This window comes from Homo sapiens, chromosome 2 (assembly GCF_000001405.40).
Source record: "Homo sapiens chromosome 2, GRCh38.p14 Primary Assembly".
Taxonomy (NCBI): domain Eukaryota; kingdom Metazoa; phylum Chordata; class Mammalia; order Primates; family Hominidae; genus Homo; species Homo sapiens.
Genome location: NC_000002.12, coordinates 65,560,700 through 65,583,237, shown reverse-complemented (window position 1 = coordinate 65,583,237; position 22,538 = coordinate 65,560,700). Strand labels below are relative to the sequence as shown.

At 46.8% G+C, this 22,538-nt stretch overlaps 5 annotated features.

The window, feature by feature from the left end:
• Nucleotides 1,686-1,755: a silencer, noted in NCBI's record as "silent region_11584". NCBI's record gives its function as "represses an Ori minimal core promoter by ATAC-STARR-seq in GM12878 lymphoblastoid cells {active_cell/tissue: GM12878}" and the evidence as "EXISTENCE:reporter gene assay evidence [ECO:0000049][PMID:35858748]".
• Nucleotides 2,825-3,498: an enhancer, noted in NCBI's record as "NANOG-H3K27ac-H3K4me1 hESC enhancer chr2:65806874-65807547 (GRCh37/hg19 assembly coordinates)". NCBI's record gives its function as "activates a minimal SCP1, AML or CMV promoter by ChIP-STARR-seq in naive H9 embryonic stem cells {active_cell/tissue: H9 hESC(naive)}" and the evidence as "EXISTENCE:reporter gene assay evidence [ECO:0000049][PMID:30033119]".
• Nucleotides 3,499-4,173: an enhancer, noted in NCBI's record as "NANOG-H3K27ac-H3K4me1 hESC enhancer chr2:65806199-65806873 (GRCh37/hg19 assembly coordinates)". NCBI's record gives its function as "activates a minimal SCP1, AML or CMV promoter by ChIP-STARR-seq in naive H9 embryonic stem cells {active_cell/tissue: H9 hESC(naive)}" and the evidence as "EXISTENCE:reporter gene assay evidence [ECO:0000049][PMID:30033119]".
• Nucleotides 5,609-6,808: an enhancer, noted in NCBI's record as "P300/CBP strongly-dependent group 1 enhancer chr2:65803564-65804763 (GRCh37/hg19 assembly coordinates)". NCBI's record gives its function as "activates an origin of replication core promoter dependent on BRD2, BRD4, P300/CBP, MED14 and CDK7 cofactors, with strong dependence on P300/CBP, by STARR-seq in HCT116 cells {active_cell/tissue: HCT116}" and the evidence as "EXISTENCE:reporter gene assay evidence [ECO:0000049][PMID:35650434]".
• Nucleotides 5,890-6,389: an enhancer, noted in NCBI's record as "H3K27ac hESC enhancer chr2:65803983-65804482 (GRCh37/hg19 assembly coordinates)". NCBI's record gives its function as "activates a minimal SCP1, AML or CMV promoter by ChIP-STARR-seq in primed H9 embryonic stem cells {active_cell/tissue: H9 hESC(primed)}" and the evidence as "EXISTENCE:reporter gene assay evidence [ECO:0000049][PMID:30033119]".

Below are 22,538 nucleotides of genomic sequence, written 5' to 3'. Positions count from 1 at the left end.
TGCCATCTGTGCCTAACTGGCTACATCTGTCTCATTCTGGGGTTCGGTCTGCAGCCCTGTGTTGCTCCCACACTAAGTAAGACCTCCAGCTTTTCCTTCTTCGGTAATAAAGAAGGTGTCCTGGTCTCCATTTGTACGCTTGGCCAGATTTCCCTGCTTTGGACACAGATGGGGAAGTAGGATCTAACTTACTGTGTCTCCTCAGAAATCCAACATGCATCAGTCAGGGTTCTGGGTGAAAAGCAATACAACCTTACTTGGCAAACTGAGGCAAAGAAGAAATTATTAAAAGAAGTAGCAAGGGTGAGAAGGCTGTTTTTAGATTAGACAGACGAGAGAACCAGGCTTAGGGAAGGTCATAAAGCAGGATGTTCAACAAGGGAGAACCAGCAGAGAGCCTGGGTCAGTGGCCTCCTCTTCAACGCGCCTTCTAACTGTTCCTGCCATTCTTGCATGGATTGCTTAAAATAAAGTTTGAAAACAAGCTGTCCAAATGGCCAAAGGATAACCTACCCACCATCCCTCCCCCACTCCCTTCTTCCTACGAAACCCAGATTAATATGTATCCATTGCCCCTCCACTTATTATTTATGGAAAGTGGATCCCACCAGAGTGATAACTGACCTAAGCCCATTGGCCTATTCTGTTCCCCTCATGACAGCCATTGGCTCATGAATGAGCAGGCCATCTGGGCCGGGCCAATCAGATGATGACTTGAAATTCTGGGGGAAACGTCTCTCTATATCCGTCTCCCTGGACCTGGGCAGGTAAGCATGTGACTCTGTGGGGGTTGTTCGCCAATTTAAAATGCAACTGACACCACAGAAGGCTAAACAGAGAGACAGAAAGAGAGTCACTCAGTCAAACCAACAAGAAGCCAGAATGGAGGCTGGGCAAACCCAGATGATAAATGTGCACCAATCATTAAAAGGCGAAAGAGTGGACCCGATTCAGAAAGCTTGGGTGTGCATCCTGGATCTACCCTTTTTAACTGGGTCATCTGGGTAAACTTAGCCTTTCTGAACCACACTTTTCTAACGTCGAAAATGGGGATAATAACAGTATTCCTCCTAGGGTTACTGGAGTCTGAAATGAGAAAATCCATGTGAAGCACTTGGTACTGGGTCTAGCTTATAGTAACTGCTGGACATGTTGCTATTTTTGTATACCAAAATGTAACCTCTTGCACATCACTTTTTTCTTTGTTAAGGCAGGATCTCGCTCTGCTGCCCAGGCTGGAGTGCAGTGGCACAAAATGGCTCACTGCAGCCTCAAATTCCTAGCTCAAGCAATCCTCCAGCCTTAGCCTCCTAAGCAGCTGGGACTACAGGCATGCCCCACAATGCTTGGCTAAATTTGTTTAATTTTCTGTAGAGACAGAGTCTCCCTATGTTGCCCAGGTTAGGTTTGATCTCCTAGGCTCAAGCGATCCTTCCACTTCAGCCTCCCAAAATGCTGGGATTACAGGCATGAACCACTGTACCCAGCTGTTTGTTTTTGAGACAAGGTCTCGTTCTGTCACCTTGGCTGGAATGTACTGGTGGGATCACGGCTCACTGCAGCCTCGACCTCCCAGGCTCAAGCGATCCTCCTGCCTCAGCCTCCCACACAACTGGGATTACAAGTATGATCTACCATGCCCACTGTGCACCACCTCTGAATCTCACCTGTCTCTTAGTCCACTGAGACCAGTTCCTACAGCACCAAACTCAGGCCCACAGTGGTCTCCCCAGTCTGTTTTCTCTGTGACACACTCACTCAATGTTCATGCATGCATGACCCAAAAATGCAGATGAGGTGACCTCCCATAGGCAAATCTTTGAACGGAGGAATGAAAGTGAGTAAGTGCTGGCCGGGTGCCATGGCTCACACCTGTAATCCCAGCACTTTGGGAGGCCGAGGTAGGTGGATCACCTGAGGTCAGGAGTTCAAGACCAGCCTGACCAATATGGTGAAACCCTGTCTCTAATAAAAATACAAAAATTAGCTGGGTGTGGTGGCACGCACCTGTAGTCCCAGCTACTCTGGAGGCTGAGACAGGAGAATCGCTTGAACCTGGAAGCCGGAGGTTGCAGTGAACCCAGATTGCACCATTGCACTCCAGCCTGGGTGACAGAGTAAGACTCCATCTCAAAAAAAAGAAAGTGGATAAGTGCTTTCCCATCTCTTCTCCTCATGAAAGTTCCCAATATGTATTTCAAGTGGCACAGGGCTCTTGAGAGGTCAACGAGTTGCCTACAGCATTGGTCAAATGCCAAATCAAATATGCATCCTTCTTCTGAAACTCCCCTGCCCTACCTCAGTCCCCTGTCCCTCACCCCAGCTTCCTCTCGGGCTCTGCTTTCTGGTAAACCCAGGCGGCTGAGCTCAGATTATCTGAGGTGGCACATTTTAATGGTCGGTTCTTATTGCTCTTCCTTTCCCTTTTCTCTATTTTCTAATTATTCTTACAATAAACACATCTTAATCTCACAATTTTAAAACCTTTTTTTTCCCCCTCAAGCCTATAATCACATCTCCAAGGCTAGTTTACCTATGTTATAAAAGTAACATGGGCCGGGCGCGGTGGCTCACGCCTGTAATCCCAGCACTTTGGGAGGCCGAGGCGGGCGGATCACGAGGTCAGGAGATCGAGACCATCCTGGCTAACACGGTGAAACCCTGTCTCTACTAAAAATACAAAAAATTAGCCGGGCGAGGTGGCAGGCGCCTGTAGTCCCAGCTACTCGGGAGGCTGAGGCAGGAGAATGGCGTGAACCCCAGGGGGCGGAGCCTGCAGTGAGCCGAGATTGCGCCACTGCACTCCAGCCTGGGCGACAGCGAGACTCCGTCTCAAAAAAAAAAAAAAAAAAAAAAGTAACATGATATTAGGATTAGGGGAAAGTGCAGGCATGTGACATTAAACATTGCTAGCAAAACACATACCCAACACAGGTATGGGTAGTGGGGAGCAGGAAGTCGGAGAGAGGGAGACAGTTATTCTTCCTGATTGTTTCTGGATGTTCTACAGCCAGCTCTGAGGCTGCTTCTCAGAAGAGGAAAGAATCCTGTGGAGAAAGAAAAGGAGGCAGGGAGGCAGGGATGGAGGGGGAGAAGGAGGATGGGCATCCTGTCTTCCTTTGTTCTCCAGCCTGGTTCCCTGAGACAGTGGGGAGGAGGGCCCCTTCTGCTCCAGGCCTTTTGTTCAGCAGAGGTGCTAACTGGTTGGCAGGCCCAGGAAAAAGGCAGACTCAGAGGGGAGCGGAGAAGGCTGGAGGAGCCACAAACCAGGTGTGAAAACCCCTGCAGAGCTGGAGCGAGCCATTTGCCGGTGGCTCAGACCAGCAATTGGAAGAATGCACCGAGATACTCTGCGCGAAGGGGCAGGAGCACGCCTTGGGGTATCTCATAATTAAAAAGCAGGAGGCTCCGCTGCAGAGTGTGGAAAAGGCCACCTCGACTGTTTCCACCACTAGGGAGAATTTGAGCCCCTTCTGTTTAGGAGTCTCCTGCTGCCCTAGGACCACAGCTCTGGATCTAGTGTGACCCAGGGTCTGGGCATCCACCCCTCCTCCTGGGTCAGTGTGGCTGAGTGACAGAGAGAAGCTCACACCATGGTCAGGGCTGGGGCGGAGGTTCAAACAGCATGAGAGACTCAGTGGGGTGTCCTGGAATTGGATATCAAGGTCACCTCTGAAACAAGTAGGTGAAACCTTATAAATCAGCACAAAACAATGAGAGAAGCCACCTGAGCCCTGCCTCCTAAATCCAATCAAGTCTCCCAAGGTATAGCCTCCATGGGTGATTTATTTTATTTTGTTTGTTTGTTTGTTTATTTGAGACAAAGTCTCACTCTGTCATCCAGGCTGGAGTGCAGTGGCTTGATCTCGGCTCACTGCAACCCCTGCCTCCTGGGTTCAAGCAATTCTCGTGCCTCAGCCTCCCGAGTAGCTGGGATTACAGGAGCCTGCCAACACACCCAGCTAATTTTTGTATTTTTAGTAGAGACGAGGTTTCACCATGTTAGTCAGGCTGGTCTCAAACTCCTGACCTCATGTGATCCACCTGCCTCAGCCTCCCAAAGTGCTGGGATTACAGGTGTGAGCCACCGTACCCAGCCAATTTATTTTTTATTGATGTATTGATTTCAAGAACAGGGTCTTGCTATATTGCCCAGGCAGGTAGTGAACTACTGGGCTCAGGCTATCCTCCTGCCTCTGCCTCCCTAAGAGCTGGGATTTCAGGTGTGAGCCACCTTTCCCAGGGGGTAATTTTTTTTTAATTCTCACCAAATACCTTTTATTAATTATGGTTTTAAAAAACACAGGACATAAGATTTACCATCTTAGGCCAGGTGGGCATGGTGGCTCACACACTTTGGGAGACTGAGGCGTGTGGATCACTTGAGCTCAGGTGTTTGAGACCACCAGCATGGCCAACATGATGAAACCCCATCTCTACAAAAAATGCAAAAATTAGGTAGGTGTGGTGATGTGCCCGTAGTCCCAGTTACCCAGGAGGCTGAGCTGAGAGGATTGCTTGAGCCCAGGAGGCGGAGGTTGCAGGGAGCCATGATGATACCACTGCACTCCAGCCTGGCTGACAGAGTGAGACCTTGTCTCAAAAACACATACACACACCTGTAATCCCAGCACTTTGGGAGGCTGAGGAGGGTGGATCACGAGTTCAGGAGTTGAAGATCAGCCTGGCCAAGATAGTGAAACCCCGTCTCTACTAAAAATACAAAACATTAGCCAGGCATGATGGTGGGCGCCTGTAATCCCAGCTACTCAGGAAGCTGAGGCAGAGAATTGCTCGAACCCGGGAGGCAGAGGTTGCAGTGAGCCGAGATTGCACCACTGCACTCCAGCCTGGGTGACAGAGTGAAACTCCGTATCAAAAAAAAAAAAAAAAAAGATTTACCATCTTAAATTTTTTTTTTTTTTTTTTGAGATGGAGTCTCACTCTGTCGCCCAGGCTAGAGTGCAGTGGTGCAATTTCAGCTCACAGCAACCTCTGCCTCCCGGGTTCAAGTGGTTCTCCTACCCCAGCCTCCTGAGTAGCTAGGATTACAGGCGCGCACCACGCCCAGCTAATTTTTGTATTTTGTAGTAGAGACGGGGTTTCTCCATGTTGGCCAGGCTGGTCTCGAACTCCTGACCTCAAGCAATCTGCCTGTCTCGACCTCTGAAAGTGCTGGGATTACAGGCATGAGCCACCACACCTAGCCCATTTAACCACTTTTAAGTATGCAGTACATTAATGTTAATTATGTACATTGCTGCGCGGCAGATCTCTAGAACTTTTTTATCTCGCAAAACTGAAATTTTATACCCACTGAACAACATCTCTTCTTTTCCTCCTCCCTTCAGCCTCAGGCAACCACCACTCTACCTCTACTTTCTGTTTCTAAGAGTCTGACTGTTTTGGATACCTCATATAAGAGGACTTATGCAGCATTTGTCTTGCTGCAACTAGCTGGTTCCACTTAGCATAGTGTCCTCCACATTCATCCATCTCTACTAAAATTACAAAAATTAGCTGGGCATTGTGGCAGGCGCCTGTAATCCCAGCTACTCAGGAGGCTGAGGTAGGAGAATCGCTTGAACCTACATCCTTGTAGCCTATGACAGGATTTCCTTAAGGCTGAATAATATTCCATTGTATATATGATGGATGATCTTGCTACATCATTTTACTGCTGAAAGGTGAATGGACTTGTGAAAATACCACTGTGTTGGCCGGGCACGGTGGTTCACACCTGCAATCCCAGCACTCTGGGAGGCCGAGGTGGGTGGATCACCTGAGGTCAGGAATTTGAGACCAGCCTGGCCAACATGGTGAAACCCCATCTCTTCTAAAAATACAAAAATTAGCTGGGCATGGTGGTGGATGCCTGTAATGCCAGCTACTTGGGAGGCTGAGGCAGGAGAATCTCTTGAACCCGGAAGGCAGAGGTTGCCGTGAGCTGAGATCGCACCATCGCACTCCAAGAGCGAAACTCTGTCTAAAAAAAAAAAAAAGAAAGAAAGAAAAAGAAAATTCCACTGTGTTGATTCAGTTCCTGCCCACAGAGAAAGAGACATTGCCTCTGACCAACTCAAATATCCGAGTTATGAGTCATTCGTTTGTCATTGATTTATTTACATATCAGGATCTACCAGTCCCAGTGTCCTGAATGCACGAGAGAAGATAGACTGAGTCCCTGCCTTCCCAGGATCTCCAGCCCAGTGGGGGCCAAACACACACCAACGAGCCCCAAAATGCCCAGCAAATGCCATAGTGAGAAGAGCCAGGGTGTGGAGAGTTTACAAGGAGAAGGCAGCCCACTGGGCTTGTGAGAGAGGCTAGGGAGGGGCTCACCAGGCACTGAGAGAGGGGAGCAATGGCAGGTACAGAAATCCAGAAAAGCCAAGAGAACAAGCCTGTTGTGACGTAAAAGCAAGTACACAGTGCCTACAAAGCATCCTTGCCCAAAAAAGAACTTAGATCTAATCAAATCTCTAGGTCAGAGTCTCTCAACCTCAGCAATACAGACATTTTGGGCCAGATAATTCTATGTTGCAAAGGAAAGAGTGCTCTCTTATATACTATAGGGGATTTAGCAGCATCCTTGGTCTCTATCCATTGGGTGCCAGGAGCACCCATCCAGTTGTAGCAACCAAAAATGTCTCCAGATATTGCCAAATATCCCTTCAGGAGCTAAATTGCCCCCAGTGGGAACCACTGCTATACTTGGGAAGTTTAATGTAGTGATGGGTTCAGGAGTGGCTGGATCAGGGCTCTGGCTCTGCATTTCTTTCATCAATTGCCTTCTCTCCTGTGTCAGCATCATCTCAAATCTAGCTTTGTTCAAGATACCAAGTGGTTGCTACAGCTCCAGACCTCACAGCTATGTATACTGACCAGACAAAGAGTTTCTTCTCCCACAGTCACTGAGCAAAGGCCTGACTTCGTACTAATTGTGCTAACCTAAACCTGTCCCCTTTCCTATCTCAATCACTGTTGTCAGGGGAAAGCTCCTTACTTCCTGGCTTGAGTTCACATTAAGTGTCTATCCCTGAATTAGTTCATTTACTTCTAACTCATATTAGTCCAGGCGTGGTGGCTCACGCCTATAATCCCAACACTTTGGGAGGCTGAGGTGGGTGGATCACCTGAGGTCAGGAGCTCGAGACCAGCTTGGCCAACATGGTAAAACCCCGTCTCTACTAAAATTACAAAAATTAGCTGGGCATTGTGGCAGGTGCCTGTAATCCCAGCTACTCGAGAGGCTAAGGTAGGAGAATCGCTTGAACCCAGGAGGCGGATGTTGCAGTGAGCCGAGATTGCACCACTGCACTCCAGCCTGGACATCAGAGTGAGACTCCATCTAAAAAAAAAAAAAAAAAAAAAAGACAAAAAATTGAATGCCTACTCTTATAGCCACCTATGTAACCTTACAGTAAATTCTCTTTTCTGTTTAACCTGCTTTAAGGAGGGCTCTGTTATTTTCAACCATTCAACTATTCAACCATTCAACTATTAAGACAAACCACATCTAGAGCATTTGGAGAGGGAACCGTGATGATGAGAGGAGCCCTGAAAGCAGTCCTAATGCAATCAGTACATTGAATAAGCAAGACACCTGATTATAGTGACCAAAACAGCTCATTTGCTCTATCTCTCAACCCTTTCATTTTTACTTACAAAGATATCAGCCTGTTCCTCAGAGGAAAATGTCATCAGTTTTTTTGTTTTTTTGTTTTTTTTTGCCCACTTCTAGGTCAGAGACAATTCTTACGTCACTGTAAATCCCAAACACAGTCTTGACTTCAAAATAAGGATGTCCTGTCAATATAATATTTGGCACACACTTTTTTTGTTTTGTTTTGTTTTTGTTTTTTTTGAGACGAAGTCTCACTCTGTCGCCCAAGCTGGCTGCTCCATGTCTTTCCTGTGGAAACCACTTTTTGAAATTCCCCCAGCGGTCTCAAGCCTGGAGTTAGAATGAGCACTTCCCACTCCTCCCTGAAAAGGGAAGTTGGGGGCCCAAGAGCACAGCAACAACTCTCTCCAAAGAAACCTCTTCACCAAGGCTTGTTCTTTTTCTTTCTCTCATCTCTGTTTTTAAGGATGTCCAAAAGTCAGGGAGCAGTTCCCCAGAGATTTCCCTTGAGAGTCTGCAAGTGAGGAATTGTTTTCCACACACTTTGCCAGGAAAAGTCCCATTCTAACACCTCTCACATTAGTATATAAAAAGACTTACTGCGGGAAAAAGTGTGCATCACAAATGAGCAAAGTCATGGAGTATCCGCAAGTCATGTGGGGAAGATGGACTCTCAGGGTTAAGAAAAGAATAGAAAGTTCAATACTCACTATGCACCATACGCAGAAAATTTAATCCCAGTTATTTTAGGCCATAAAATATAAAAAAGAAGTAGTTTTAAAACTAGAAATGTTGTAAGTGTGTATTTCACTGGTTTTGTAATAATATAGAACTTTCTAAGCCTCAAGACAATGGGGAGAAAAGCACAGAAGAAAAGCTAATAGTTTAACATTTCTTTTTAACTAGAACACTTAGTAGACATTGAGAACCTGCTGCTATATTGAAACTCAGAAAATCCTCTCCTAGGATCAGAGGCATAAAGATGCCAAGAAGTCAACCAAAGTTGTATGACAGACCAAGAAACGTCTGTTTCAGACATTTGGAATCCTATAAGATTCCATAAGTTACTTTCAATTGAACCAAATATAACATGTCCTAAACTTCACAGTGAGACTGCTGTTTCACATGACAGCCATATTCCAGATTAATGCAACCTGACAGCATGCTCTATTTTTCTTTTTCTTTTTCTTTTTCTTTTCTGAGACAGAGTTTTTAGCTCTTGTTGCCCAGGCTGGAGTGCAATGGCACGATCTCGGCTCACTACAACCTCTGCCTCCCGGGTTCAAGCGATTGTCCTGCCTCAGCCTCCTGAGTAGCTGGGATTATGGGCACCCACCACCACGCCCAACTAATTTTTGTATTTTTAGTAGAGACGGGGTTTAACCACATTGGCCAGGCTGGTCTCGAACTCCTGACCTCAGGTGATCCTCCCGCCCCGGCCTCCCAAAGTGCTGGGATTACAGGCGTGAGCCACCGGGCGCCTGGTCCCATGCTCTATTTTTCATTCATTCATTTCACAAAAGCTATTATGAGCCCAGACTGTGCAGCACTGTTCCAGGCTCTTGGCATCCAAAAGCTAACCAGACCGTGCTCCCTCCCTCATGTATTTTACCTTCTTTGGAGGCAGAGGGACAATAAATAAGTGCAGAAGTTAACAAACTTTTTCATATTGTGAGAAATGGCAACATAATATGAGCTCATATTTTTACAATCCAGAGTTGCTTTCATTAAGAATCTGTGCTTCTCAACCTTGGGTACACTTTGGACTAATGTAGAAAGCCCTTTTAAATACTGATGACTGGTTCCCATTCCCAGAGATTCTGGCATAATTGGCTAGGTAAAGCCTAGGCATTGGCCTTTTTTTTTTTTTTTTTTTTTTTTTTTTTTTTTTTTTTTTTGAGACAGCGTCTCCCTCTGTCACCCAGGCTGGAGTGCAGTGGCGCGATCCTGGCTCACTGCAACCTCCGCCTCCCTGGTTCAAGTGATTCTCCTGCCTCAGCCTCCCGAGCAGCTGGGATTACAGGCGCACGCCCGGCTAATTTTCTTTTTGTTTTTTGTTTGTTTTTTTTTAGTAGAGATGGGGTTTCACTGTGTTGCCCAGGCTAGTCTCGATCTCCTGAGCTCAGGCAATCCATCCGCCTCGGCCTCCCAAAGTGCTAGGATTACAGGCTTGAGCCACCGCGCAAGGCCTTTTGTTTTTTGTTTTGTTTTGTTTTTCCCATCCCCTCAAGTGATTCTAATGTACGGCCAGAAGAGAACTGAAAAGGGTATATAAAAGAAACTACCACTAGATGTCACTGTCCCCAAAGGTTTGAAGAGAAACAGTCCTCAAGTAGTCAATGGCTAAGTTCCCGCTAGATAAACAGACTTGATTTTGCCATATTTTGGATCCAAGCAAATGTCCAATACAAATATATATATATGTTCCTCAATTTATCTTTGGCCTGAATGAAGCAAGTCATACAAAACCCAAATGTGGCCGGGCGTGGTGGCTCACGCCTGTAATCCCAGCACTTTGGGAGGCCGAGGCGGGCGGATCACGAGGTCAGAAGATCCAGACCATCCTGGCTAACACGGTGAAACCCCGTCTCTACTAAAAATACAAAAAATTAGCCGGGCGTGGTGGCGGACGCGTGTAGTCCCAGCTACTCGGGAGGCTGAGGCAGGAGAATGGCATGAACCCGGGAGGCGGAGCTTGCAGTGAGCCAAGATCGCGCCACTGCACTCCAGCCTGGGCGACAGAGCAAGACTCCATCTCAAAAAGAAAAAAAAAAAAAAACCAAATGTATTAGTTTGCTGGGGCTGCCATAACAAACTTGGGGGCTTAACAGAAGCCCAAAGTGTTTTGTTGGAGAGTTATTTTCTCTTGAGGCCTCTCTTCTTGGTTTGCAAATGGCCATCTTTTTCTTTTCTCTTTTTTTTTTTTTTTTTTTTTTTTGAGACAGTGTCTTCTCTGTTGCCCAGACTGGAGTGCAGTGGCTGGATCTCAGCTCACTGCAACCTCCACCTCCTGGATTCAAGCAATTCTCCTACCTCAGCCTCCCGAGTAGCTGAGATTACAGGTGCACGCCACCATGCCTGGCTAATTTTTTGTATTGTTTTGTAGAGACAGGGTTTCACCACATTGCACAGGCTGGTCTTGAACTCCTGGGCTCAAGCAATCCTCTCACCTCGGCCTCTCAAAGTGCTGGGATTTCAGGTGTAAGCCACCATGCCCAGTCTTGCAGATAGCCACCTTTCCACTGTGTCCTCACATGGCTGTCCTTCAGCCCGTGTTGGCTGGGTCCTAATCCCCACTTCTTATAAAGATACCAGTAATACTGAATTAGGGCCCACCCTAAAGACTGTTTTAACTTAATGACTTCTTTAAAGGCCCTATCTCCAAATACAATCTACAGTCACATTCTGAAGTTCTGGGCCATTAAGGGCTTCAACATATGAATTTGCGGGGCGGGGCTGGGGGGAGGGCAGATACATTTTTCAAGAAATCACCAAGAAATCAAAAGCAAAACCAATCTACTTGATGAGTGGCAAATGAGTAGTTTCCCAGCCATCCACAATTCTAAAGATCTCTCACATAATAACTATGGAGCAAATTGGTTGCTTTAAAAAACAAAAAAGACTTTTAAAAATTATTTTTATTCTTTATTTCTTTAGTTTTTTTTAGCCAGGACATGTTCTTATATGAATTTTTTTTTTTTGCAAAAATCGTACTTCTTGGCCAGGCACGGTGCCTCACACCTGTAATCCTAGCACTTTGGGAGGCCAAGGCAGGCGGATCACCTGAGGTCAGGAGTTCGAGACCAGCCTGACCAACATGAAGAAACCTCGTCTCTATTAAAAATACAAAAATTAGCCGGGCGTGGTGGCGGGTGCCTGTAATCCTAGCTACTCAGGAGGCTGAGACAGGACAATCGCTTGAACCCAGGAGGCAGAGGTTGCAGTGAGCCAAGATCGCACCACTTTGCACACCAGCCTGGGTAAGAGAGTGAGACTCTGTCTCCAAAAAAAAAAAAAAAAAAAAAAAAGGCCTAATCCAAATAGGAAAAGAGGAAGAAAAACTCTCTCTCTTTGCAGACAATATGATTTTTTTCTTTTCTTTTCTTTTCTTTGCTTTTTTTAAGAGACAGAGTTTTACTTTTGTTGCCCAGGCTGTGCAATGGTGTGATCTCGGCTCACCGCAACCTCCGCCTCCCGGGTTCAAGCAATTCTCCTGCCTCGGCCTCCCAAGTAGCTGGGATTATAGGTGAGCACCGCCACGCCCGGCTAATATTTTTCTATTTTTAGTAGAGATGGAGTTTCACCATGTTGGCCAGGCTGGTCTTGAACTGCTAACCTTAGGTGATCCACCTGCCTCAGCCTTCCAAAGTGCTGGGATTACAGGCATGAGCCACTGCACCTGGCCCAGACAATTCGATTCTATACCTTGAAAACCCCATAGTCTCTGCCCAAAGGTTCATTGATCTGATAAACAATTTCAGCAAAGTTTCAGGATACAAAATTAATGTACAAAAATCAGTAGCACTTCTATACACCAATAGCATCCAAGCTGAGAGCCAAATCAAGACTGCAATCCCATTCACAATAGCCACACACAAAAATAAGGTACCTAGGAATATAGCTAACCAGAGAGGTGAGAGATCTCTACAGGGAGAATTATAAAACACTGCTGAAAAAACTCAGAGATAACACAAACAAATGGAAAAACATTCCATGTTCATGAATAGGAAGAATCAATATTGTTAAAATAGACATACTGTCCAAAGCTATCTACAGATTCAATGATATTCCTATCAAACTACCAATGACATTTTTCACAGAATTAGAAAAAGAAACATTCTAAAATTCATTTGGAACCAAAAAAGGGCCTGAATAGCCAAAACAATCCCAAGCAAAATGAACATAGCTGGAGGCATCACACTACCCAACTTTAAACTATGCTATAAGGATACAGTAACCAAAACCACATGGTACTGATACAAAAACACACATAGACCAATGGAACAGTTAGAGAACACAGAAATAAAGCCACACATCTACAACTATCTGATCTTTGACAAAACTGACAAAAACAAGGAACAGGAAAAGGTCTCTCTATTCGATAAATAGTGCTGGGATAACTGGCTAGCCATATGCAGAAGATTGAAACTGGACCCTTTCCTTACACCATGTACAAAAATCAACTCAAGATGGATTAAAGACTTAAATGTAAAACTTAAAACTATAAAAACCCAGGAAGAAAATCTAGGAAATAACATTCTGGACATTGACCCAGGCAAAGACTTCATTATGAAGCCTCCAAAAACAGTAACAAAAAAAAAAAAAAATTGACAAGTGGGACCTAATTAAACTAAACAGTCTCTGAAAAGCAAAAGAAACTATCAGCCGGGCGCAGTGGCTCACGCCTATAATCCCACCACTTTGGGAAGCCGAGGCGGGCGGATCACAGGGTCAGGAGTTCAAGACCAGCCTGACCAACATTGTGAAACCCCATCTCTACTAAAAATACAAAAATTGGCCAGGCATGGGGTGCCTGCCTGTAATCCCAGCTACTCAGGAAGCTGAGGCAAGAGAATTGCTCGAACCCGGGAGGCGAAGGTTGCAGTGAGCAGAGACCGCACCACTGCACTCCAGCCTGGGCAACAGAGCGAGACTCCGTCTCAACAGGAGAGAGTGAAAGAGAGAGAGAGAGAAAAGAAAGGAAAAAAGAAAGAAAAGAAAAGAGGGAAGGAAGGAAGGAAGGAAAGGAAGGAAGGAAGAAAGAAAGAAAAGAAAAGAAAAGAAAGAAGAAAGAGAAAGAAAGGAAGGAAGAAAGAAAGAGGAAAAGAAAAGAATAGAATGAATCACTGGGCACAATGGCTCATGCCTGTAATCCCAGCACTTTGGGAGGCCGAGGAGGGTGGATCACCTGAGGTCAGGAGTTTGAGACTAGCCTGGCCAACATGGTGTAACCCTGTCTCTACTAAAAATACAAAAATTAGCCAGGCATGGTGACAGGTGCCTGTAATCCCAGCTACTCAGGAGGCTGAGGCAGGAGAATCGCTTGAACCCGGGAGGTGGAGGTTGCAGTGAGCAGATATCGCACCATTTCACTCCAGCCTGGGTGAAAGAGCAAAACTCTGTCTCAAAAAAATAAACAAATAAACTGTCAACAGAGTAAACAGACAACCTACAGAATGGGAGAAATATTTGCAAACTATACATTTGACAAAGGTCTAATATCAAGAATCTATAAGGAACTCAAATAAACAGGCGAAAATCAACCCCATTAAAAAATGGACATGAACAGATACTTCTCATAAAAAGACACTCACGCAGCCAACAAGCATATAAGAAAAAATGCTCAATATCACTAATCATGAGAGAAACGCAAATCAAAACCACAACGAGATACTATCTCACACCAGTTGAATGGCTATTAGTAAAAAGTCAAAAAATAACAGATGCTGGCAAGGTTGTAGAGAAAAAGGAATGCTTATACACTGCTGGTGGGAATGTAAATTAGTTCAGCCACTGTGAAAAGCAGTCTGGAGATTTCTCAAAGAACTTAAAATAGAACTATCATTTGATCCAGCAATCTCATTACTGGGTATATACCCAAAGGAATATAAATGGTTCTACCATAAAGACACAAGTACATGTATGTTCATTACAGCACTATTCACAACAGCAAAGACATGAAATCAACATAAATGCCCATCAATGGTAGGCTGGATTAAAAGAATGTGGTACATACACACCATGGAATGCTATACAGGTATTTTTTTAAAAATGAGATCATGGCCTTTGCAGCACATGGGTGGAGCTGCAGGCCATTATCCTAAGCAAATTAACACAGGAACAGAAAACCAAATGCCACATGTTCTCACATACAAGTGGGAGCTAAACATCAAGTACACATGGACTCAAAGAAAGGAGCAATAAGGCCAGGCACAGTGGCTCATGCCTGTAATCCCAGCACTTTGGGAGGCCGAGGCAGGCAGATCACCTGAGGTCGGAAGTTCGAGACCAGCCTGACCAACATGGAGAAACCCCATCTCCACTAAAAATACAAAATTGGCCAGGCGTGGTGGCACATGCCTGTAATCCCAGCTACTCGGGAGGCTGAGGCAGGAGAATCACTTGAACCCGGGAGGCAGAGGTTGTGGTGAGCCAAGATCGCACCATTGCACTCTTCAGCCTGGGAAACGAGTGAAACTCTGTCTCAAAAAAAAAAAAAAGGGAGCAATAGACACAGGGGCCTATTTGAGGGTGGAGGGTGGAAGGATGGTGAGGATTGAAGAACTACCTATCAAGTACTATACTGATTACCTGGGTGACAAAATTATCTGTGACCACGTAACTTACCCATGTAACAAACCCATGCATGTAACCCTTGAGTCTAAAATAAAAGCTGGAAAAAAAGAGAGAGAGAAAAGGCCTATAATAATTTTATGTACTTATGTATTTTTTAAGATAAAAGTTACACAGGTACGCAATCAAAATTTTAAGCCATAGTGGAGGCTATAAATGAAAAGGAAAACCTTTCTTATCTCCATTCCCACTCCCAACCCCCAAACTCTTCATTCTAAGACAAAACATATTGCACTAGGACTATCCCAGAGTTCTGTAGAATATTGGATGACTCCATAGGAGTTATCCCCATATCCTAGGAACATGTCACCATGTGAGAGCTGTGGGCTGAAGAATCGTGACCTGGGGGTTGCCGAAAGTCCCCACCTACAACCAAAAGAAAGAAAAAAATGCCCATCAGGGTGTCTGCAAATCCCACCCCCAAAGCCACTCTTTAAGAGCCTTCTGGAGTCTCCCTCTCTCTTTGAGATGGAGTCTCCTCTGTCGCCCAGGCTGGAGTGCAGTGGGGCGACCTTGGCTCACTGCAAGCTCCACCTCCCGGGTTCACACCATTCTCCTGCCTCAGCTTCCCGAGTAGCTGGGACTACAGGCACCCGCCACCACTCCCGGCTAATTTTTTTTTTTTGTATTTTTACTAGAGATGGGGTTTCACTGTGTTAGCCAGGATGGTCTCGATCTCCTGACCTCGTGATCCGCCCACCTCGGCCTTCCAAAGTGCTGGGATTACAGGCGTGAGCCACCGCGCCCGGCCGAGGCTCCCTCTCTCTGTAGGGTTAAGTTATGATGTTGCCTGGGAAGCATGACTCACAGTCAACAGGCTATCACACATTCGTGCTCGTGGAACCCCACCTACAAGGAGCCTCTAGAACTGCGCTCTCTAATAGCCACTAGACACATATGGCTATTCAAATCTAAATTAGTTAACATTTAAAATTCAGCTAAACCATGAAGTCTAGCACCCCCTTTCCTGCACCCCCCTCACTATTCCTGGGCAACCACCGACCCTATGTACATGGGGTTGACCCCAGCTGTCCAGAGGCACAGATGGAAAGAAACTGGAAGGTACCACAGTGCCTAGCTAGAGTCAACTCAGCCCCCAGGACTCTCCTTTAAAATCTTTCTGCCGCGTCTCAACTGGCATTTTTGTTGAAGATGAACCACTTAGGACCTCACCAGGAGTCCAGAGTGGTGTGAGTACAACCAAGCAAGCCGAGCGAGAAAGGAGCCCCTGTGAGGAAGAGCTCCCACCCACCAATCCCAAACCCACTTCTCTTCCATGTCTTGATCCATATACGGCTTTCAGGACCCTGTGCCAAGACCCCGACAAGCTCAGGATCTTCTTCCGAAGTCAGAGCTAAGACAGTCTCAGCCCCAAACCACAGCCGGAATCACATGTCCAGACCAGCACTGAACACGCCCATCTGCCAGCGGAACAAAAGAACACCTTCCCCGGGGTGCCCAAATCCATCTGAGCAAGCAGCCCGCAGGGATTCCAGCTTTATCAGAAAAGTCATGCTGAGCCCTTTGGTAAGGATTTGCTGAGAAGAGAGGGCACCGCACCCCAAAAACAAACCAAAACAGCCCCAGGACACCCTGAGAAAAAGAGAAATTTCCCAGAGCTTCTCCTGGCAGGACTGTATCTAAATTGCCACCCAAAAAAATCCCAGAGTAACAGTAATTCCCCCACTGGTTCAAAAACACCAACAACACAGCAAGCTAACTTGAACTTCAAGCTGCCACATGCTATAATGAGTGTGTGGCTAAATACCTTTCACGAAATCTAAAATATAAGCCACACAATATCTCCTCTCAGCAACTCAAGCACACACATGCACACACTCAACTGAGTGTTTTCATGGCAAATGAAATATACCCTGTGAAAAGTTCCTCTGAAAATTTTCTTCTGAATTTTCATACCAGCCAAGTGAGTTTCACAGAAGCCGAGAAATACAGAAGCAAGTTTTTGCCCTTTTTTGCCCTTCTTTCCCACTCTTTTCCTCCTTCATGCCCTGTCTACTGCCCTCCCACTCCAGCCAAGTGAGCTCTGCCAGAGACAGCAGCGTGGGCATCTTTACAGCGCAGACTTCACTAGCCGCACAAGCCTGTGGCCACCTGGACCAGTGAGGAAAGAGACTGAGTTTAATCACGCTGACCAGCATCCCAGGGGCCTCCCCTCAGGGTGCGTGGAAGGAAGGAGCGGTTCCAGCAGTTCAACCAGATCTGAGAGCAGGCCTTGGTCGCCTCCCTAGCAAGGCGGCAGATTGTGAGTCTGGGTCCCCAGAGATGAGGTCTGCCCTCGGCTACCGTCCAGGGGGAGGGAGAAAGCCTGGCAAGGTTCAGGCCCTTCTATGCCAGTGAAGCACACAGTGGACCAAGTGCAGTGCCTGTGGACAGCAGCTCCAGCCTGGCGCAGGCCCAGCCCAGAAAGCTGCACCCTAGCCATAAACTTCTTTAGTGATTTCTGGGCTTCAGAACCCTTCATTATAAAGCAAACAGCCAAGAAAGGGAAAATCTTCGGGTTTATCAGTTACCAACATCCAGTTGCCATGAGGAAGTAGGAAACAGGCTACATGAGGACCAGCAGGAACTCAAAGCAAAGGCCAAGAAAATGGAGAGGACGGGCCAGGCACCGGTGGCTCACACCTGTAACTCCAGCACTTTGGGAGGCCAAGGCAGTGGATCACTTAAGCCCAAGAGCGGCCTCAAGACCAGCCTGGGCAACAGGGTGAAATCCTGTCTCTACTGAAAAAAAGAAAGAAAAAAAAATAATAAGCTGGGCATGGTACTGTTCACCTGTAGTCCCAGCTACTGGGGAGGCTGAGGTGGGAAGATCACCTGAACCCAGGAAGTCGAGGCTGCAGTGAGCCATGATCGTGGCACTGCACTCCAGCCTGGGGAACCAGAGTGAGATCCTGCCTCAAAAGAAAAGGAAGAGGGTGGTGGAGCAGAGGTGTCATTTTGGCCAACTTCCAATCTAGTCCAAGTTCAGGGACCCCGTATCTGGTCCACACACTAGTTCCCAAGGGTTTAGCCAGAGCCCTGGCTCAGGTCACATGGGGAACAACAGCTTTCTGCTGGGCAACCAGGGGAAACAAGGCCCAAAAGCATCTGTCAATCCGTGAGTCTGTCTGTCTGTCTGTCGACAAGACGACAGCTCTTGGCTTGAGCAGCCCTTGCCAAGGAGGCTAGATACAGAGGCCCTCCAGCAAATGGGACTCACAGATGTGTTCAGTTTGTCTGATACAGTATTGGCCCATGCAGAGTTTCTAAAGTTTGAAATCATTGCCAGCATTTAAAGATCAAGAGAAGAATTCCACCTTAAAAAAAAAAAAATCCAGATCATTGCTTCTCTTGAGAAATCAGCTCTCTGGCTCCATTGTGTTTACTTTCTGGCCAGAGCCGAGTCATGGCTGTCCCTTTGCAGCTGGGCATGTGCCCTCCACAGTCCCCCACTCTCCCTCCACTGTCCTCCACTCTCCACTGTCTCCCAACGCTGGAGCCCCTTTTACAGGCTATTCATCGCAGCTGTGGCTATAGCCTTAATACGCACTCCCAGCCGGCTTCCCTTGTGTGTGATGCCTCTGGTCCCATAAGCAATGGGCTGGGGCCTTACCCTAATGCATCTGAGCAGAGGCTGTACCCTGGGGGCATAAAGAGGCCATGGCAGTCCCAGTGCCCCCCAGCTGGAGGGCACAGGCTACTGGGGAGTTCAGGGGAGTGTATAGGAGAGCATTTTGCCTGAGGACCCTATGTTCTGCCGCCCAGAAAGAGGAGGCTGCAGGTTGGTCTGTCAACACCAATACTGGCCTTGGTGGAGGCTGGCAGGCCTGTATCCTCACCAATCTGGTCAGGAAGAGCACATGCAAACCCAAGGGAGGCTGCCATGGCCAGCTCTGCTGCAGGTGCTGCCCAGAGAACCTCCAGACACACGCTCAGTGCGCCGAGGTTGCAGGAGAAGCAGCACCCCAGAGAAGCAGGGCCTGATGTTGATGACACTGATGGCCAGGCTCAGTGGTATTGGGATCCCAGGGACAGCAGAGGGGTCTCCCTTATGGGACGGGGTGTTCTCATCCTGAAGCCCCCCACTTTCTCAGTCAGGGTCTCTGAAAAGAAGTGAATGGAACCATCAGAGGGTGTAACTGGGGAGCGGGTAATGGGGACTGGTTACCCAGGTATTTAAACTGCTCTTAGAGACCAGTTAAACCCATGAATGTAGCTCTTACTGTGTCCTCCGGTTTGGAGTGCTATTTGTAACTTGTGAGTGTCAGGACATTAGGCATCATTCCTTTAGGTGTCATCAGGTCTTAGAGCAGGATGGGCCTTCAGCAATCATCTGATGGGCGTCTCTTCCATCAACAGAGAAATGAAGCCCAAGAGGTCAAAAAACGCATATAAGGGGCCAGAGCTAGTGACCAGCAGAACCAGAAGTAGAACCCAGGAGCCCTGACTTCCGACTCAGCCCTTCCCACTGCCCCACACTGCTGCCATCACCTGGAAAGGAAATGGAGCAATGTTGTAGGCAACTAAATTCTTACTTGATTGAGCCCAGATTTCTATTTTTGTTTCTTTTTTTTTTTTTTTTTTCCTCACTCTGTCGCCCAGGCTGGTGTACAGTGGCGTGATCTCGGCTCACTGCAACCTCTGCCTCCCGGGTTCAAGTGATTCTTCTGCCTCAGCCTCCCTAGCAGCTGGGACTACAGGCACCCGCCACCATGCTGGCTAATTTTTTGTATTTTTAGTAGAGACGGGGTTTCACCATGTTAGCCAGAATGGTCTTGATCTCCTGACCTCGTGATCCGCCTGCCTCGGCCTCCCAAAGTGCTGGGATTACAGGTGTGAGCCACCATGCCAAGCCCAGACGACATAATTCTTACAGAATACCCTTTCCAGTAGCTTTCGGGAAATGACCCAGCTATAACACCACCTTAGGTGTGAGCAAGGTGCCAGCTTGAACTACCTGTTCCCATCTAGTTACTCAATCTGGGAAGGGCAGTCACAATATCCATGCCTGGGTCACTGCTGCAGAGTGAGCTGGGTGGCTCCCAAAGATAGGTGTCAGAGGTGGAAGTCATACTCATGACTGCCTGCTCCTTTTTGAACTTACTCCCCAGCCACCAGGCAAATGCGCAGGAGCTCTGCAGAGCATCCCAGTCTGGCCTATTGCCCACACCTTGCCCAGGCATTGGCTGCCACCTTGGCCCAGTTACACCAGCGGGAAGAGAGCTGTGTGGGGACCACAGAAGGTCACCACAGTAACCCAGATAATCCACTCATGCTGCAAAAATAGAAAGCAGCCTCCAGGCCGGAGGCATTCTAGGGTGGAGGGAGCCCTTTGAATTTTTTAGTGAACTTGGGTAAAAGCTCCTGGGTAGTCACTCTGCAAGGATTTTAAGGATTATCTAGAATGTTCAATAAATGTTTGTTGATTGATGCTTTTAATGTTCTTTGATCTTTTAAGTGGAAACTGTCATTTCAAGGGAAGTCCTTTTGTTTTCAGTTTCTTGGGATTACTGTGCAGGGACTAGTGATTGACAAATTCTTACACATTTTCCTCTAATTTCAAAAGTGTTTGCTCTTCACATTATATGTGATATGGTTTGGATTTGTGCCCCCACCCAAATCTCATGTCAAATTATGATCTCCAGTGTTGGAGGTGAGGTCTGGTGGGAGGTGATTGGATCACGGAGGCAGACTTCCCCCTTGCTGTTCTCATGATAGTGAGTGAGTTCTCATGAGATCTGGTTGTTTAAAAGTGTGTGGTACCTTACTCCTCTCTCTCTTCCTTCTGCTCCAGCCATGTAAGACGTACCTGCTTTCCCTTCACCTTCCACCATGATTGTAAGTTTCCTGAGGCCTCCCCAGCCATGCTTCCTGTACAGCCTGCAAAACCATGAGCCAATTAAACCTCTTTTATTTATAAATTACCCAGTCTCAGGTAGTTCTTTATAGCAGTGTGAGAATGGACTAATACAACGTGTGTGTGTGTATGTGTATGTGTATTCTCTTAAATTGCTCAGGCATATATGTCCTGAAAAGGCCGTATTTTCCACCATGGCTAAGCTGGCTGTGGCCCAGCCCTGGTGCTGGTGGGACCTCAGGCTCCTGCTCCCTGAGAAGGGAAGACCTAAGTAGGCAGGAGGAGCCAAGACAGCAGCTGCCTGAAAGCAGCGGCCGTTTTAAAGAGTCTTCAAGGTCCCAAATCCACAACAGGGAGGCAGAGAGGGAGGAGAGAGCAATAAAAAAGAAAGTAATCAAGTATGAAGATTATCCTCCATGGCTTTAATTCTATTTCCCCACTTCCAAAACAAACAGATGTACCAGTTTGCTTCTTAGGGCTAAGTGTGGTTAATACAACATTCCACAGCTCTCCACCCTCACCCCTGCCCTGTCAGGCCCACAGGTGGCGAAACCATACAATTTATTGTCATATATATAGAAAGTATATATACAATATATATGCAATATATACAATTCATTCTATATACACTATATATACACACACCATGTATATATACACACAATATATACACACACACACACTACATAGTATGAATTGTTACTATATATATATACATATACATTTAAAGCTTAAATGTCTCCTGGGCCTTGAGCAGGGGAGACTGATAGGTCTTCCCTTGCATTGATCTGAAATCCATTCCCCTGTTCCATAACATATATCCCCAGGAACTGAACATAACAAAGCACCAAGTTTTCTTTCTTCCACGGGATGAAACCTTGAGATAACTAAAAACTGCACTGACGCCTTCCCTGAGTTTCTGTTTTCTAACCCAAATGTCCCTGGTTCCATTGCTCATACGCCTCATCACCATCCAGTACAGTCGCAGCCATCTTTTCAAATGCGGTGCTTAAGGACTCAACACACTGCTCAATCCGTGAATACTGCAGTTCTATCAACTCCCATTTGCCAGATGCTATAGTTCTGTATATAAAACCTAAGATTCTACTAACAGTTTGGGTAGCCTCATGGCATTCTTTTTTCTTTTAATCCATTTTACCAACCCTACTCTCTAGTGTATGGAAGACGCTCAATAAATGATTCTGAGACGGAGTCTCACTCTGTCACCCAGGCTGGAGTGCATGATCTCTGCTCGCTGCAACCTCCCCACCCCCGGGGTTCAAGCAATTCTCCTGCCTCAGGCTGCCAAGTAGCTGGAATTACAGGTGCCTGCCACCACGCCTGGCTAATTTTTGTATTTTTAGTAAAGACGGGGTTTCACCATCTTGGCCAGGCTGGTCTTGAACTCCTGACCTTGTGATCCACCCACCTCTGCCTCCCACCACTCCTAGCCAATAAATGATTCTTCACTAAATGAATAGGTAGAATGAGTGTTTGGTACACACTGAGCTTTCTGTAGACTCACTTTTTTTCTTTTTTTGAGACGGAGTCTCAATCTGTCGCCAGGCTAGAGTGCAGTGGCGCAATCTCGGCTCATTGTAACCTCCACCTGGCCAGGTTCAAGCGATTCTCCTGCCTCAGCATCCTGCCTCAGCCAGGATGGTCCCGATCTCTTGACCTCGTGATCCGCCTGCCTCAGCC